We start from the raw sequence: 14,006 nt of genomic DNA on the forward strand, positions 1-14,006 counted from the left end.
GCCAAATGTGGGGGTGTGGGAGAATCTCACGTTGGAAGTCTTAATACATTTTGTCCTATAGAAATATGGTTAAAAAAAAGGTGTTTAAGTTCTATTATTGCTCTACTTCAGGAACAAGGTTGCCAGGTTGAGGGTTAATTAAAAAACTTTGTGTTAATAATATTGTTTCTGCAAGAAAATTTAGTTTAATTGCCAAATAGTTTACTTATAAAATGAGCTTTTGGAATCACAACTTAGTCAAGAGTTGGATACTATGGTAGATTGGATAACTTTTAGTACATATTCCCTCTTTTCTCTCCCCTCTCACCATAGGGGGAGCATTCTTTCCTCCATTCAAGTTGGCCTTAGGCATGGAACTTGCTTTGGCCAATGGAACATGGGCAGAGTGGCGGGTACTTCTTCCAAGTATGGACCTTCAGGGGCATTGCATATTTCTGCTTGCCCTTCTGGAGCATCGATACCTTCTATCATGAGAAAAACATGCCCCAGGGAGCTGCTGCCTCTCTGGCATGGGCCCCAGCATGAGACACATGGAGAAGACCTGTGCTTCACCCACGGGCAGAAGCAGATATCAAAGGCTGTTAATTCAGGAGGTAAAGCAGACACTCATTACTCACTGGGTTTCAGACATCAAGAACAGCCCAACAGGTACACTTTTCTACCTATTGTTCTGGCCTCCAAGTATAGGAAATTATGTATATGGTTGAGCATTAAGAGTCTCAGAGCACAGAAGTCCTTATTTTCAGTGAGGTATTTTATATGTCCCTGGCACACTAAATACTTATTAAATAAATCAGCAACTAGAAGAAGTATTGCTATATAGTTCTTTTGGAAAAACATCTCCCCAAAGTTGTGAATGTTTAAGAAAAGGCACGTTAAAATGACAAACAAATTACTTAAAGTAGCATGAAACTGTAAGAAAGGAAACATAATATTTACTTCTAAAGAAACATATGTCAAAGTGAATCGAGAGGCTTCTAAACCTGCATTGAAATAAACATTCAAAGATGGCAGATTTAAAAAAATGTGGATCAGAAAGACATTCCAGAATCAAAAGCCACCAGCTGCTACAAGTGTGAAAATGAAACCTCTGGAGGGACTGTTGCCTCCTGCTCCATGTGGCTGTGGCATGTGATGCCTATAGCAGCTACTGAACTGATATTTGTGCCCACCACCCAGTCTGGGTAGAGCAGGTGTCTCACTGGCACAGTGCAGACGAGCTTGACATCAGAAAAACTTACCAGAAGTAGGTCTTTGCCTAGTTCATCGATATCTGTTACAAACTTCTCAATTGGTTGGGCAGATTTTGAATGAAAAGCCTGCCTGGGAAGGGCAACATCTCTAGGCCAGTCTTCTTCTCCTGGGAGTCCAATCACGCTACAAAAGAACCACACATGGACATAAGCATTAGCTACTATGCAGAAGCTGTTTTCTCATCAATTTCCAGAGAAAGGCAAAATCTAAGGGGGAGACATGGGGGGCAGAGTCCCAGGAGACCTTCACTTTATCACTGGCAGGGTCTCTGTTTATCTCTGTCCTACTGCAATATGGTGGCCATGGGGGAGAGGGTAATCTCACAGAAGAATTGTAAAATTCAGTGGGAGGAGATAAGAGATTGCTCTGGTAGCAGACACTAAATGTAAGGGATGATGTAGAAATAGAAAATATATTACCAGGCAGTAAGCTCTGACTTAGTGACAAAGCAGGACTTATTGTATTCAGAGGAGACCCATACTGGTACATATCTTCCTTTATGTCCAAGAATGCTTTTTGTGTTTTGATCGAACACCCCAGTATTGACATGATTTTATGATGCTCATCCAACATGGTTTATTAACATATCAATTTGGTTGCATTTTTGGTTAAAGAGCAATTCCCTACATATTAAATATATACATTAGAATCAGAAGGAAAAATGAGGCTAAAACGTGCTAGTCCTGCATTATACAAACATGATTTTATAAAAGGAAGTCTGTGGTATTCCAAAGTGAGCAAACAGTAAATTAAAAGACTATTATTTATATTTCCCCTGAAAACCATTCTGGGATCAGAAATGTGGAAAGAACAGCAAGTGATAAGCACAGGCTTCGGAAATAGGCAGATTTGGGTTCAAATCCTGCACCTGCCACTTACTGGCAGGTAAGGACAAATTACTTAACATCTATGACCCTTAGTGTCTTTATGTATACAATGATAATAACTTACAGTTGTAATGAGGATCAGTTATACTTTATTTGAATTTATAGTAATATATAAATTTATAATTTAAAGTACAAAGCACAGCACCTGATATACATCACACACAGTCAATTATCAATCAATACACTGCCTACTATTATTATAATTAGAAAATGTTATTAATACAAGATGCATAGGAAATACATCACTACCACACTTAAAATATGAACTGCTTGTATCTATGTATAACTTAAGATTCTTTAAAAAATTAATGGGTCAATGGACTTACATAACTTATACATTGTATAGATATTATTTATAGTTTACATATAGGTCGTAAGTAGGTTTGAACAGAGAAAATCAGAGGATGCAGGGACTTCTTTCTCACACAGACTGTATAACTCTGAACCAAAAATAAAATCATAGTTTAGTGGACGGGGTACATAGCTATTCAAATACTGGAACAAATAATTTTAACTACAGTTAGAAATTGTGCTGGCCCACATTAGGGTCTTCTGCTTGGCCTCTACTTGTTGGGACTAAGGCCCAGGAAGAGGTGTTCTTATGAATGTACTTCCAGATTTCAGGAAGATGTGGTACAGGTCTCAAGATCTGTAGCACTTCATTTCCCCTTCCCTCACCTACACGGAGCCCAGGCCATAGACTTCAGCTGGGAAGATAACCCTGTCATCATGGCTTCTCTGCCTGGGTGTCTGGGGAAGACACTGTAATTCGGCCTCTATCAGGCATACTGAGAGAGCTACATTATTGAGGCAAAGACAGATTCATGGACATATTTACTAGAAGCAATAAATAGAAATGACAATGAGCAATATATAGATTTGTTCAATAGTACAGCCTACAATAGAAGTAAAAAGAAAAAAACCAAAAATACCACTATTAATTATGAAAAGAAATGCACGTGTAAGTGTCTGGATACAATGGGACAGGGCAGAGGAGGGAATGAAAAATGCTTGTTAGAGAGCTTTAAAAATTTCCTTTCATTCCTTTTTAGTTGTCAGGTCTATGTGTATCAATATTTTTGTGTATATTCACCAGTCAGCTAGAAATTGATTATATTAATAACTCCTAGAAATATTTAAAATCTTTTTTATTTGTGGCTTTGAATGTATCTACATCTAATTACATCTTGCAAGTATATGATCAACTGAATGCCAAAAGCCTTCAGAGGAACAGCACATCTCTGTTTGTATGTGTGTACATATACAAATAACTTTATATAATTTTATATAAAATTTTAAACAAACACATAACTATATATATAAAACTTTAAGTCTATCACCTCCTCTGATTCCTGTAATAATTTCCTAAGACATGTAAGTCAGGTGTTATTAGTCTCATTTTATAGATGGGGAAATTGAGAATGAGGAATAAAATGAACTGCCAAAGTCACAGATAGCAAGCTCAGTCACAGAGTCCAGAGTGAGTTCCGTTCTCTCTATTCCAATATTTTATTTCCATTTAGCTATGACATCATTCTTAAAAATGCTCTAAGATGTCACAGGCTAAAACTATTGTTTCACTTTTAATACTTGCTATTACTTGAAGGCTTAAATCTTCCTAAACACAGAAATGTTTTTCCCTTTAAGAGTATGTGAACATGGACCAGGTGGGGTGGCTGTAATCCCAGCAGTTTGGAAGGCCGAGGCAAGTGGACCACTTGACCCCAGGAGTTCAAGACCAGCCTGGGCAACATGGTGAAACTCCATCTCTATAAAAAATATAAAAATTAGCTGGTTGTGGTGCCCTGTGCCTGTAGTCCCAGCTACTTGGGAGGCTTAGATAGGAGGATTACTTGAGCTCGGAAGGCCAAGGCTTCAGTGAGCCAAGATCGCACCACTGTACTCCAGCCTGGACAACAGGGCAAGACCTTGTCTCCAAAGAAAAAAATAAAAAAGAGTATGTGAATATGGCTTTCCTTAAAAAAAATTTGGTTTCATGTCCAGAATGAACTTTTATGGCCCAAATATGTGTTGTGAAATTCTGATAGGTCCATTAAAAATGCTTGCACTTAATTCCACTATTTGGACTGCTGAATATAAGCCTTAAAAGTTGACATTTATATTGGCAAGCCCAACAGGGCACAAAATCTATAAATGGCAGTGATGGAGGAGACAGAAATATTTTTTCAAGTACTTCAGCAGTGACGCTAGGGTGCAGCATTGTCCCTTTTCTCTGGCAAGGTAATGCATTCAGAGGAAACAGAACATAATTTTGATGACACAATGCCAGAAACCACAAAGTAAAATCTAAAGGCACAAACCATAGAACTCTACAGCTTCTTTGCTGTTGGCAACCTACGATTGTCAGGACTTTGCCAAAAGCAGAACTGGCTTTTCTTTGGAAGCAGGTCAAACATGCCGGTCAAATGTTCCTTCTGGTCCATTTCACTGGCCTCATGTACTAAGGGGGCACTAACAATGTTAACAAGATTGCAGACATCAGTGCTGGAGGTAGACACAACTGTCAGGTAGTATAAATAAGGGAAAGAAGGTGATGGCTTTCAAGTCCTGGCAAGCTGACTTTAGTCAAGATTCTCTTTCCTTTTAACAGAAGGTCATCAGTATGTCTGCTTTCCCTAGTTTCCTCTTTATGATCACATGCACACAAAATATATTCAACAGTCATGGGGAAAAATAGATGGGAGTTCATCGAGTGATTAAATAACTTGCCATTCAGAAGCAGGGGTAACATGAAGGCTTTGTGTTGAATTTATCCACTGTACAGAGTGGTCAGTAGTAGGAGCAGTAGCATCACCTGCCCTGGACCCAGGAAGCCCCCAGGCATAAAAAACTAGCAAATGTTATTCAGGCCTTAAAGCTACTATGTTCTGACTCAGCAGTAGCACTGGCATTAACAGAAGTCTAGCTGCTTCTAGTCACTAAAAGAACAAAATCAGGTTCCAGTTTTATTAACTGTTTTAAGCAGTCACGCTTGAGTAGACAGTGCTGATATGAAAATCTGTTCTTTAGGGGTGGTTTTTTTTTTTTTTTCAGTCTTACAGACTTCGAATTTCATAAAAATCACTGGGATTCCTATAAAATGTCACAGACCAAAGATCAGGGCTATTTTTGGTCTAGAACTCCCACTTTTTTCCTACTCCACTCCAATTTGGATGGGCCTTTCAAACACAAAAAACCAAAAAAGGATGCCACACTGCATGCTTTGTCAGAAGAAGTGCCCCAGTTACATTCTAGAAACATGAATGCATACATGCATGAACATGCAGACATGAATGAAACTATGTAAATCATCAAGGAGCGATGTAACTGAAACCAAAGAATTTGAGCACAAGAAAGGATCTTATAGAGAATTTAAGTCAGAGTTTCATTTCTCAGATGAAGTTAAGGAAATAAAAGGTTAAATAATTAATGATGAACTCTAATAGTAACAGTAATAGATAACTTTTTAAAGTGCTTACTATGTGCCAGGCACTGTGTAAGCCCTTCACGAGGTGTTTTAAATGACTTTCTCAAAGTTGCAGAGTTATTTTGCCAAAGACTTAGGGTTCTCATTTTCTATTTTGGTGCTCCAAAGAAAAATGAGATGTGTAGCATACCATCCTTCGCCCAGGAAAACAAAACAAAACAACGCAGAACCAACCTGGGTGACCAAGGATACTCAGTGGGGACAGGAAGCTCACTGGACAAGGATGGGTACTTGGTCACCAGGCATCCCATCTCTGATGGTGGGTGCTTTTGAAATGACCACAAGCAGAAAATGTATTTGAACTAAAAGAACTGGAGCTCAGCCACACGAAGAAAGAGGAGCAGCAAAAAGATCCACACAAGCAACATACAAGCTTCCAGAGCAGAGCAGTTAGGGCTCTGCATAAAACGGCACTTCTACCATGTCTCCACTCACCACACAAATAGTAACACTGTCTGCAGCAGCTGCTTGAAGTAAGAAAGACAAGAGATAAACACATGATATGCATGTCAGAGGAAAGTCACTGTAAATGTTTTAATGCTATGGACACTGGTGTAAAATTATAATTATTACTTACTCCAAGATTTTTCCTAGTTGATCAACATCTGAACTTCCACGAAAAAGAGGCCTAAAAGAATAAAGATACATTTTAAATAAGAAATGTTCTCAGATTACATTTCAATCATATTTGCCATTATCATTGTTTCACAGGAAGCAAAATATTCTTTATGGGTTGGGAAGAAGTAAAAAAAATTGAGACATTTTTCCTTTGGTAAGTGAAGGTTTTCCCTGCATTTCATGTATGGGTTAGGATCTCTCATGAATACCTGGTGGTAGATGAATTCCATGTTTTACAATCACGGGCATTCTGTTTGCAGTCATTCTTACAACAGTGCTACCGTCAAATTCAGTTCCAGGTTTCAAAGATCTGCTTAACTTCGTGATAAGGTGGAACATACCACCATCCTAGTCTCGAACCATAAATAGGTGAGATTCTTTGATATTTCTCAGAGCACTTTTTCCATACTACTCTGCTATCAGAGTACTTCCTCATGGGTCTCTCTCCTTTCATTTGTCCTCAATGCTGCAGTGAACCACCTCTGGGTCTATTTTTCTAATTATACCACTTTTCTTCCTCCCAATATTATGGCAGCTAACCATTACAAGTTCTAAATCTTAACTCTGGGCTTTAGAGGCAATTGTGTCTGCTTCAAACACACAGCCTTCCTTGTCTACATTGAGCATTTAACTGGCAATTAAAAAAGGTCATTTTGTGACATTTCTGGCATTTCTCCAAGAAGATCAAGTAGCCCCTTGAGGGAGGAGACTTCTCTAGGTTTCCCTATAAATCCCTGCCATAGAGCTTTACTCTGACAGATGCAGTTACTAAACATTTTATTTCATTTTGCATACACCTATGGTACACAAGTAAACGTTCCCTGATTCCTTCCTCAACAAATGCCATAAACAGGTAATTTTCAACATTAATGTACTAAAATAGTTGTAGTCTATTATCAGGTATCATATCTCTTTTTATATTATATATCAAATTATACAGCCTTAAACTTGACCTCTTAAATATTTTCTGTGCACAATAAATGAACTCACTATATATGGCCATATATGGAGAATCCTGCAGTCATAGCATTTCAGTGGTTAGAACACACCTTAACGTTTCTCAACCATACTTTCTATGAATGTTACTATTCCTGAAAATAATGATTTCCAAATGCAGTGGAAAAGAATTTACTTATTGCAAGGTGATGGGCTGAATTTTTTTCCCCCAAATTCATGTTGAAGCCCAACTCCCAAGATCTCCGAATTTAACTGTATTTGGAGATAGAGCCTTTAAACAAGTAATTAAAATAAGATAGGGTGGGCCCTAATCAAATCTGACTGTTTTCCTTGTAAGAAGAAGCCATTTGGACACAAAGAGACATCAGGGGTGCACATGCACACAGAGAAATAAACATGTGAGAACCATGAGAAGGTAAGCCTAAAAGAGAGCCCTCAGAAGAAACCAAACCTGCTGACACCTTCATCTTGGACTTCCAGCCTCCAGAACTGTGAGAAAATAAGCTTTTGTTGGTTAAGCAATCCAGTCTGGTATTTTGTTGCAGCAGTCCTATAAAACTAATATAAGCCACCTGCATATCACTAATGCAGCCAAATTCATAAAGAATCACGAAGTTGCGCTCTGAAAGACATCTTGACAGGTCTTAAAAGATGACAAGGTGAGAAGTCCAAGTTTTTTTCTAAAACTTCCAAAAAAAGGCAAAAAATGGAATCTTAACAATTATAATTTATTGAGCATGAATGTTGTATCTGGCCTAGTGCCAAGTGCCCCAAACATAATCTCATTTGATTCTCACAAAAATTCCAGGAGAAATGTAGTAGTACAATTATCCCTATTTTCAGATGAGGAAACTGAGTACTGGAGATGTTACATGGCTTAATTAAGGGCATAATATTCCCCTCTCCTTTTATTTCTTTTTAGTTAACATGCTGATTTTTCAAGATTTTTTTTTGACTGGGGAAAGGGTCTGTTTGGCGATGGACTGTCCTGGGAGTGAATCTCTATTTAGCTGTTTCTTCCTATATGATCTTAGGAAAGTCTCTTAATTTCTTTGACTTAGTTGCTTCATTTGTAAAATGGAAAGAATGATACTTACCTCATAGGATCAACTAAGTGAGATTATGAATATATCTCATCTACTAGAATGCCCAGCTTATAGCAGAGTTACAATTAAGTGGTAACTAAACACACACACACACACACACACACACACACACACACACACCTCTCTTATTCCTGGCCAATATTATACAGATAATCATGTAAAGTATTTCACACAGTGAAGTAGAAAGGAAGGAACCATTTGCCACCATGTGGTGAGGTCCAAGTCACATTTAAGTCTAACAGTCTTTCCTCTGGGGTCACTAAATATTGCTTACATGTTACAGCTCTTACAACTTTATCAAGAAAAGAATTTTCTAAAGGATGAATGCCACATTTTTCAATAAGGATTAATTAATTCTGAATTGGCAATATCACTTCCTGTATGCAGTTTTGCAAAAAAAAACAAAACAAAACAAAACAAAACAAAAAAAACCAAAAACCTCACCAAGTATTTAAGTCTATCAGTGAGATAAATTTTCTCAGGTCAAATTACCAAGGGGACTAAGTTTCAGATTATATGCCTTTTTAAAAAAACAACTCAAAAATGCATAGATATCATTTGTAATCTCAGTAACAGTGGCAAACAACATTTAGAAGTTGGGTATGTTTTTTAACAGATGAGAAGTGTATACTGGTATGTCTGTTATAGAAAGGAAATGATTCATGCATAACAGGGGATGAAAGTTTCATTTAGTTACAATAATTTCATTGTACTCAAAAGACAAGGAAGTCATGGGTTAACCTATAGAACACCTTTGTAACCTGTATTTGACCTGCAGCTATGCTTTGACAGCTATTTTTCTTGATTAGTGGAAGAATTTTCCATGTTCATAAAGTGATCTTTCAAAAAAATATTACTGGAGAATATCTATTATTTTATACTCATTACCACATTCTATTCTAGAGTTGTTATCAGTTAAGTTAAAATTGTTAACTTATCACCTTACAATTACCACCTATTCAAATAACTGGATGAAGCAGAAAATCAATTAACTGATCTACTTAGTACACACTAATTGACTGATTACCCAGTAAGTACATGCGGCTGTAATTGGTGCTGGGAAATACTAAAAAATACACATATAAAAAATATAAATTACATTTCAAAGTATATAATTATAATGTATGTAATATACATATAATGTAAGTCATATGATATACATATAATATGTATTTATACATTAATAGCAGGAGACAAGGAGACAAGATATACAAATGCAGAATCACCGAATAGAAGTTTACCTCATTTTACCAGTGGGAGACAGAAGTCGCGGTAATCGTTTCATCTTAATAGAATGTTAGGAAGTGGTTTGATTAACTTACTTTTACAGATGGGAAGTAAAGTAACATCTAAGGAAACACAGATGAGTAAGTGGCTAAGCTGATTTGTCTGACTTCAATGAACAGCAATATAGAAAAAGTGTTTTAGAAAGACTAATTTGGCAGGGGTTTACTGAGTCAATAAGAAGGGATGGAAACCAAGCCAAGGAGGTCAACTGGGAAGTCAGTGTACAAGTAAGATGACAAGGGCCTCAACTAGGTGGGACAAGGAAATGGCTAGAGATGCAAAGACATTTAGAAGAAGATGATCAGAACTTGATGGAAATGTGAACATGACTTGAGAGGAGAAGCATGATTTTAAGTTTGTATTATATTATTAGTAAAGTCTGGCAGAATGAGATAGATGGAGGTGGTGGGGAGAGGAGATTAGAAGGTAACTGATTTAGTTTTAAATATTTTCCTTGTATAATAAAATTATATAAAACATTTCACTGAAATTGGAGAATGAATAATATGCAAAAAAGGTAGTTTGGCATACCTATGTATATACCCAAAAGCATTAACATACAGGTCCACATAAAAACTTGTACATGAATATTTATAGCAGCATTATTCATAATAGCCAAAAAGTGGAAACAATCCTAACGTCCATCAACTGATAAATGGATAAACAGAATGTGGTATGGACTTACAATGGAATATCACTGAGTCATAAAAAGAATGATATACTGAGACTACCTGGAGGACCCTTGAAACCATTATGCTCAGTAAAAGAAGCCAGTCACAAACAACCACACATAATGTGATTCCATTTATATAGACAATGTAAATTTATACGAACAGAAAGTAGACTGGTGGTTGCCTGGGACTAGGGGATTTGAGGGAACTGACTGTATACAGACTGAAGGTCTGTGCCCCTGAAAATTTCCTGTGTTGAAATCCTAATTCCTAAGGTGATGGCATTAGGAACTGGGGCCTTTGGGAGGTAATTATGTCATAAAAGGCATTAGTGCCCTTATAAGAGAGACCCTGGAAGGCTCCCTTGTCCCTTTCACCATATGAAGACACAGCAAGATGACGATCATCAATGAATGAGGAAATGAACCCTCTCCAGATACTGGCTCTGACCTTGGACTTCCCAGCCTCCAGAACTGTGAGGAAGAACTTTTTGCTGTTTATAAGCCAATCCAGTTCATGGTATTTTGTTAGCAGCCCAAGCTGAGTAAGACAGACTGCTAATGGGTATGGCGTTTCTTTTTGGGGAGATAAAAATGTTCTAAAATCGACTGTGGTGGTAGTGGTACAACTCTGTGAATATGCTAAACTGAAAAAAACACTGAATTGTACTATTTATATTGGTGAATTGTGTGGTTATATCAATTATATTTTGATAGAGCTGTTAAAAAAGGTGGTTAAGAAATTATATTTCCAAGCAAACATTACGGATTCAGGAGGAGGGTAAAAAAACTGCTAAATATTTGGAAACCATCCACATACACACAAAAATAAATTAAAAAAAAAACTGCTAGGAAAACTGTTAGGTCTACATATATGAAAGGCTTTAAGCATGCGGTATTAAAGTATAGTGACAAACATTTTACCATATATTCAATCAAGTACTTGTCTGGAGACATGTGCTCCGCAAGTTTTGATAATCTATTGTTATGATCTGAATCTTTCCAAACACCTGATTTATCAGATTAGGGTTAAATAATAAACCAAAAATGTCTATGCATGCAAAAAAAGGCACTGGTATGAAACTATTATCTTATACTTCACTTTGGATGGTGAGATGATGAATGATTTGCTTTCTGCATTTTTCTACTTTTCTATACTGCGTTTTATGAGTGTTAGTTTTAAAATCAGAAGAAAAAAAAACCCGACAACATTGCCTCTTGCCATACACTGCACATATATGATCTGTTCACCTCACTTCTTCATTCCCTACTTTAATACTAAGGCAACTCTATTATATTCGTTTACCTGTTGATTTCTACACACAAACTGGAAGTTCTCTGAGGACAGGGCCAACCCTCACTTGATTCTGTATTCAGAGTACTGAATTTACTGCCCAGTTTGGCTATAATTGGAACTCAATTAATACATGCTGAGTGGTTATTGCTCCCCCCTGCAAGAAGGCTTTCTGTCCCTTCTTTTCTTCAACTTCAGCTCCTCCTGTCTCAAAATTCACTTCCTTGGTTCATCTCTGGGTAATTCAAGTGCAAGCAGGTGTATCTGCAGAGGTACATATATACGATTAGATGTATACACACCAAGAGCCAACTCCAAATCCAATTTATATTGTTGTATCTGTTTATGCTTTAATCTGCCTGTGGCACCAGACAATATCTGCCTGCAAATAATGTGTATTTAAAAACTGGGGCTGGCTGACAATTATTCTCCTATATCCAAAACCTTGCGAAAACCTTCACAGAAGCAGCAAGAGGCAAGCAGGATAGGAACTTTGCCCTCCAGTGCTTGCTTCAGCCAGGTATGAAGGCTAGGGATGGTCTCCCTGGAAGACAAAGAAAGAGAAGTGTTGAGAAAAAGTGTAGCAAAGGCAAAACGGTATAGGATTAAGGAGAGTGGGGAGGGGAAAGACGCACTTGAAGTAAAACCGGTCCAGAAAGGGAGAAGGGCTGGTGGGAAAGAGCACGGAAAAAAACAATTTAAAGCCCAAGTAATGACAAGGAAAGACCGTGGCAGAAAGAAGAATCTGAGACGAAGTTCCGTCACAGAGACCCAGACTGATAGGAAAAAACCTCTGCCAGGGAAGGGAGGTGCCACTTAGAGGAAAGACTTGTGTCTCTAACACAAGTTAGAGAGTGTGCTGGCATCCCTGTCCATAGGAGGGACTATGAGTCTGGTAATTTCCTTAAAAATAAATAGCTGAATTAATTTTTCCTTGTTACCGATGTGAATAATTTATTTATCCACAGAGGGCTCATATTTACTGGACTATGAGTAACTTCCTCTAGAGAAAGAGATGGAGAGAAAGAAAGAGAGGGAGAGCAGAGGGACAAACCCTACCATTTTTCAACTCAAAATTGAGGATTAAAATTAAACTAGAACTCACCAAACTACTTCAGATTTCTGAAACATTACAAAACTCATAAATTAATATATTTACTGAGTCAACTTTACATATGACTAAAATAAGACTAAGCGGTCGTTGAGATGAAAAAGTCATTTCTAATCACTATGACAAAAATTGAATGGGTATCTCCCATTTCCAAGAAATAGTTACTTCTCTGAAATATTCAAATAATTTCATTTTTATTCTCCCAGTGTCATCTCTCCCTGCCTTAGTCTACTCAGGCTGCAATAATGGAGTACTGCAAACTGGGTGGCTTAAACAACAGAAATTAATTTTCTTGTGGTTCTGTAGGGTGGAAAGCCTGAGATCAGGGTGCTAGCATGGTAACTCAACAATGTAGGGTTCTGGTAAGATCCCTCTTCCTGGCTTGTACCTGCCTTCTTGCTATGCACTCACGTGGCTAGAGAGAGGGTATGCTCTTTGGTGTCTCTTCTTATAATGGCACTAATCCAATCATGGGAGCCCCATCCTCATGACCTCATTTAATCCTAATAATCTCCCAAAAGCCCCATCTCCAAATAGCATCACATTGGGGGTTAGGGCTTCAATGTAAGAATTTTGGGAGGGACACAAACATTCAGTCAGTAACACGTCCTTCTTCATATTAATGAATGTAATATATCTTCCATAATTTTAAAATTAAAAAGCTGGGCTGGCACATTCTTGTCTACTATAGCAGCAATAAATGTGATTTGTCTTTCTGTGACTAGGATCCAACTCTTCATTTTATATACTTTTTGATATTTTTTCTTGCCAAATTACATTATTTATTTATTTATTTATTTATTTATTTCCCTTCCAAAGCCTCCCTTATCTCTTGCTCTCCAATCACACTGTTCAGGGGGATTCTTAAGGCTGGGAAAGAAATGATGATGTATTTAGCACTTTCCAAGGGCTGGGTTCCTAATGCATTATTGCATTTTAATTCTCACTCTAACCATGAAGTTAGGCGACTAGCAAGTACTGAAAAACTTTGCAAATGAAAGAAAGTTTTAGAACCAGGAAAATAAATCTGAGTCAAACTTCGGAAGCTATAATTCACAAGGGTGAAGACTTTATATTAGTATTATTAAAAAATTGGAGGCAAGTCAAGGATATGGTACCCCCATGGAATCACTCCTGTCACTATGGGCTTCTTTAATAGTCAGATATCGCAGGCTCAACACTCCGGGGAATACTGTCTTCTGTCTCTTCATATAACCACAGAGCTTGGATAACCCTTCTGCTCCCTTGTGGAAATTCTAGCTTTAATACTCACTATAGTTTAAATTGGGCTTAGCATTGAAAAACTTTAATGACAACATGCTGGAAGGTCATTTG

At 37.5% G+C, this 14,006-nt stretch overlaps 1 protein-coding gene across 3 annotated transcripts in view, besides 1 other annotated feature; it reads right to left on the reverse strand.

Annotated features, from left to right (window-relative positions):
* Positions 1–14,006, reverse strand: part of CDK6 (cyclin dependent kinase 6) — a 231,653-nt gene that overhangs the window by 11,910 nt on the left and 205,737 nt on the right. For all 3 annotated transcript variants that reach the window (NM_001145306.2, NM_001259.8, XM_047419716.1), the window contains exons 6-7: positions 6,206–6,256; positions 1,242–1,377 (exon numbers count right to left, since the gene is read on the reverse strand). In NM_001145306.2, the coding sequence (NP_001138778.1) occupies positions 1,242–1,377; positions 6,206–6,256 (187 nt within the window). The remainder of the gene's footprint in view (positions 1–1,241; positions 1,378–6,205; positions 6,257–14,006) is intronic.
* Positions 8,885–9,179: a silencer, noted in NCBI's record as "tiled region #6214; HepG2 Repressive DNase unmatched - State 15:Elon". NCBI's record gives its function as "represses a minimal TATA promoter and a strong SV40 promoter by Sharpr-MPRA in HepG2 cells {active_cell/tissue: HepG2}" and the evidence as "EXISTENCE:reporter gene assay evidence [ECO:0000049][PMID:27701403]".

Source organism: Homo sapiens, chromosome 7 (assembly GCF_000001405.40).
Source record: "Homo sapiens chromosome 7, GRCh38.p14 Primary Assembly".
Taxonomy (NCBI): domain Eukaryota; kingdom Metazoa; phylum Chordata; class Mammalia; order Primates; family Hominidae; genus Homo; species Homo sapiens.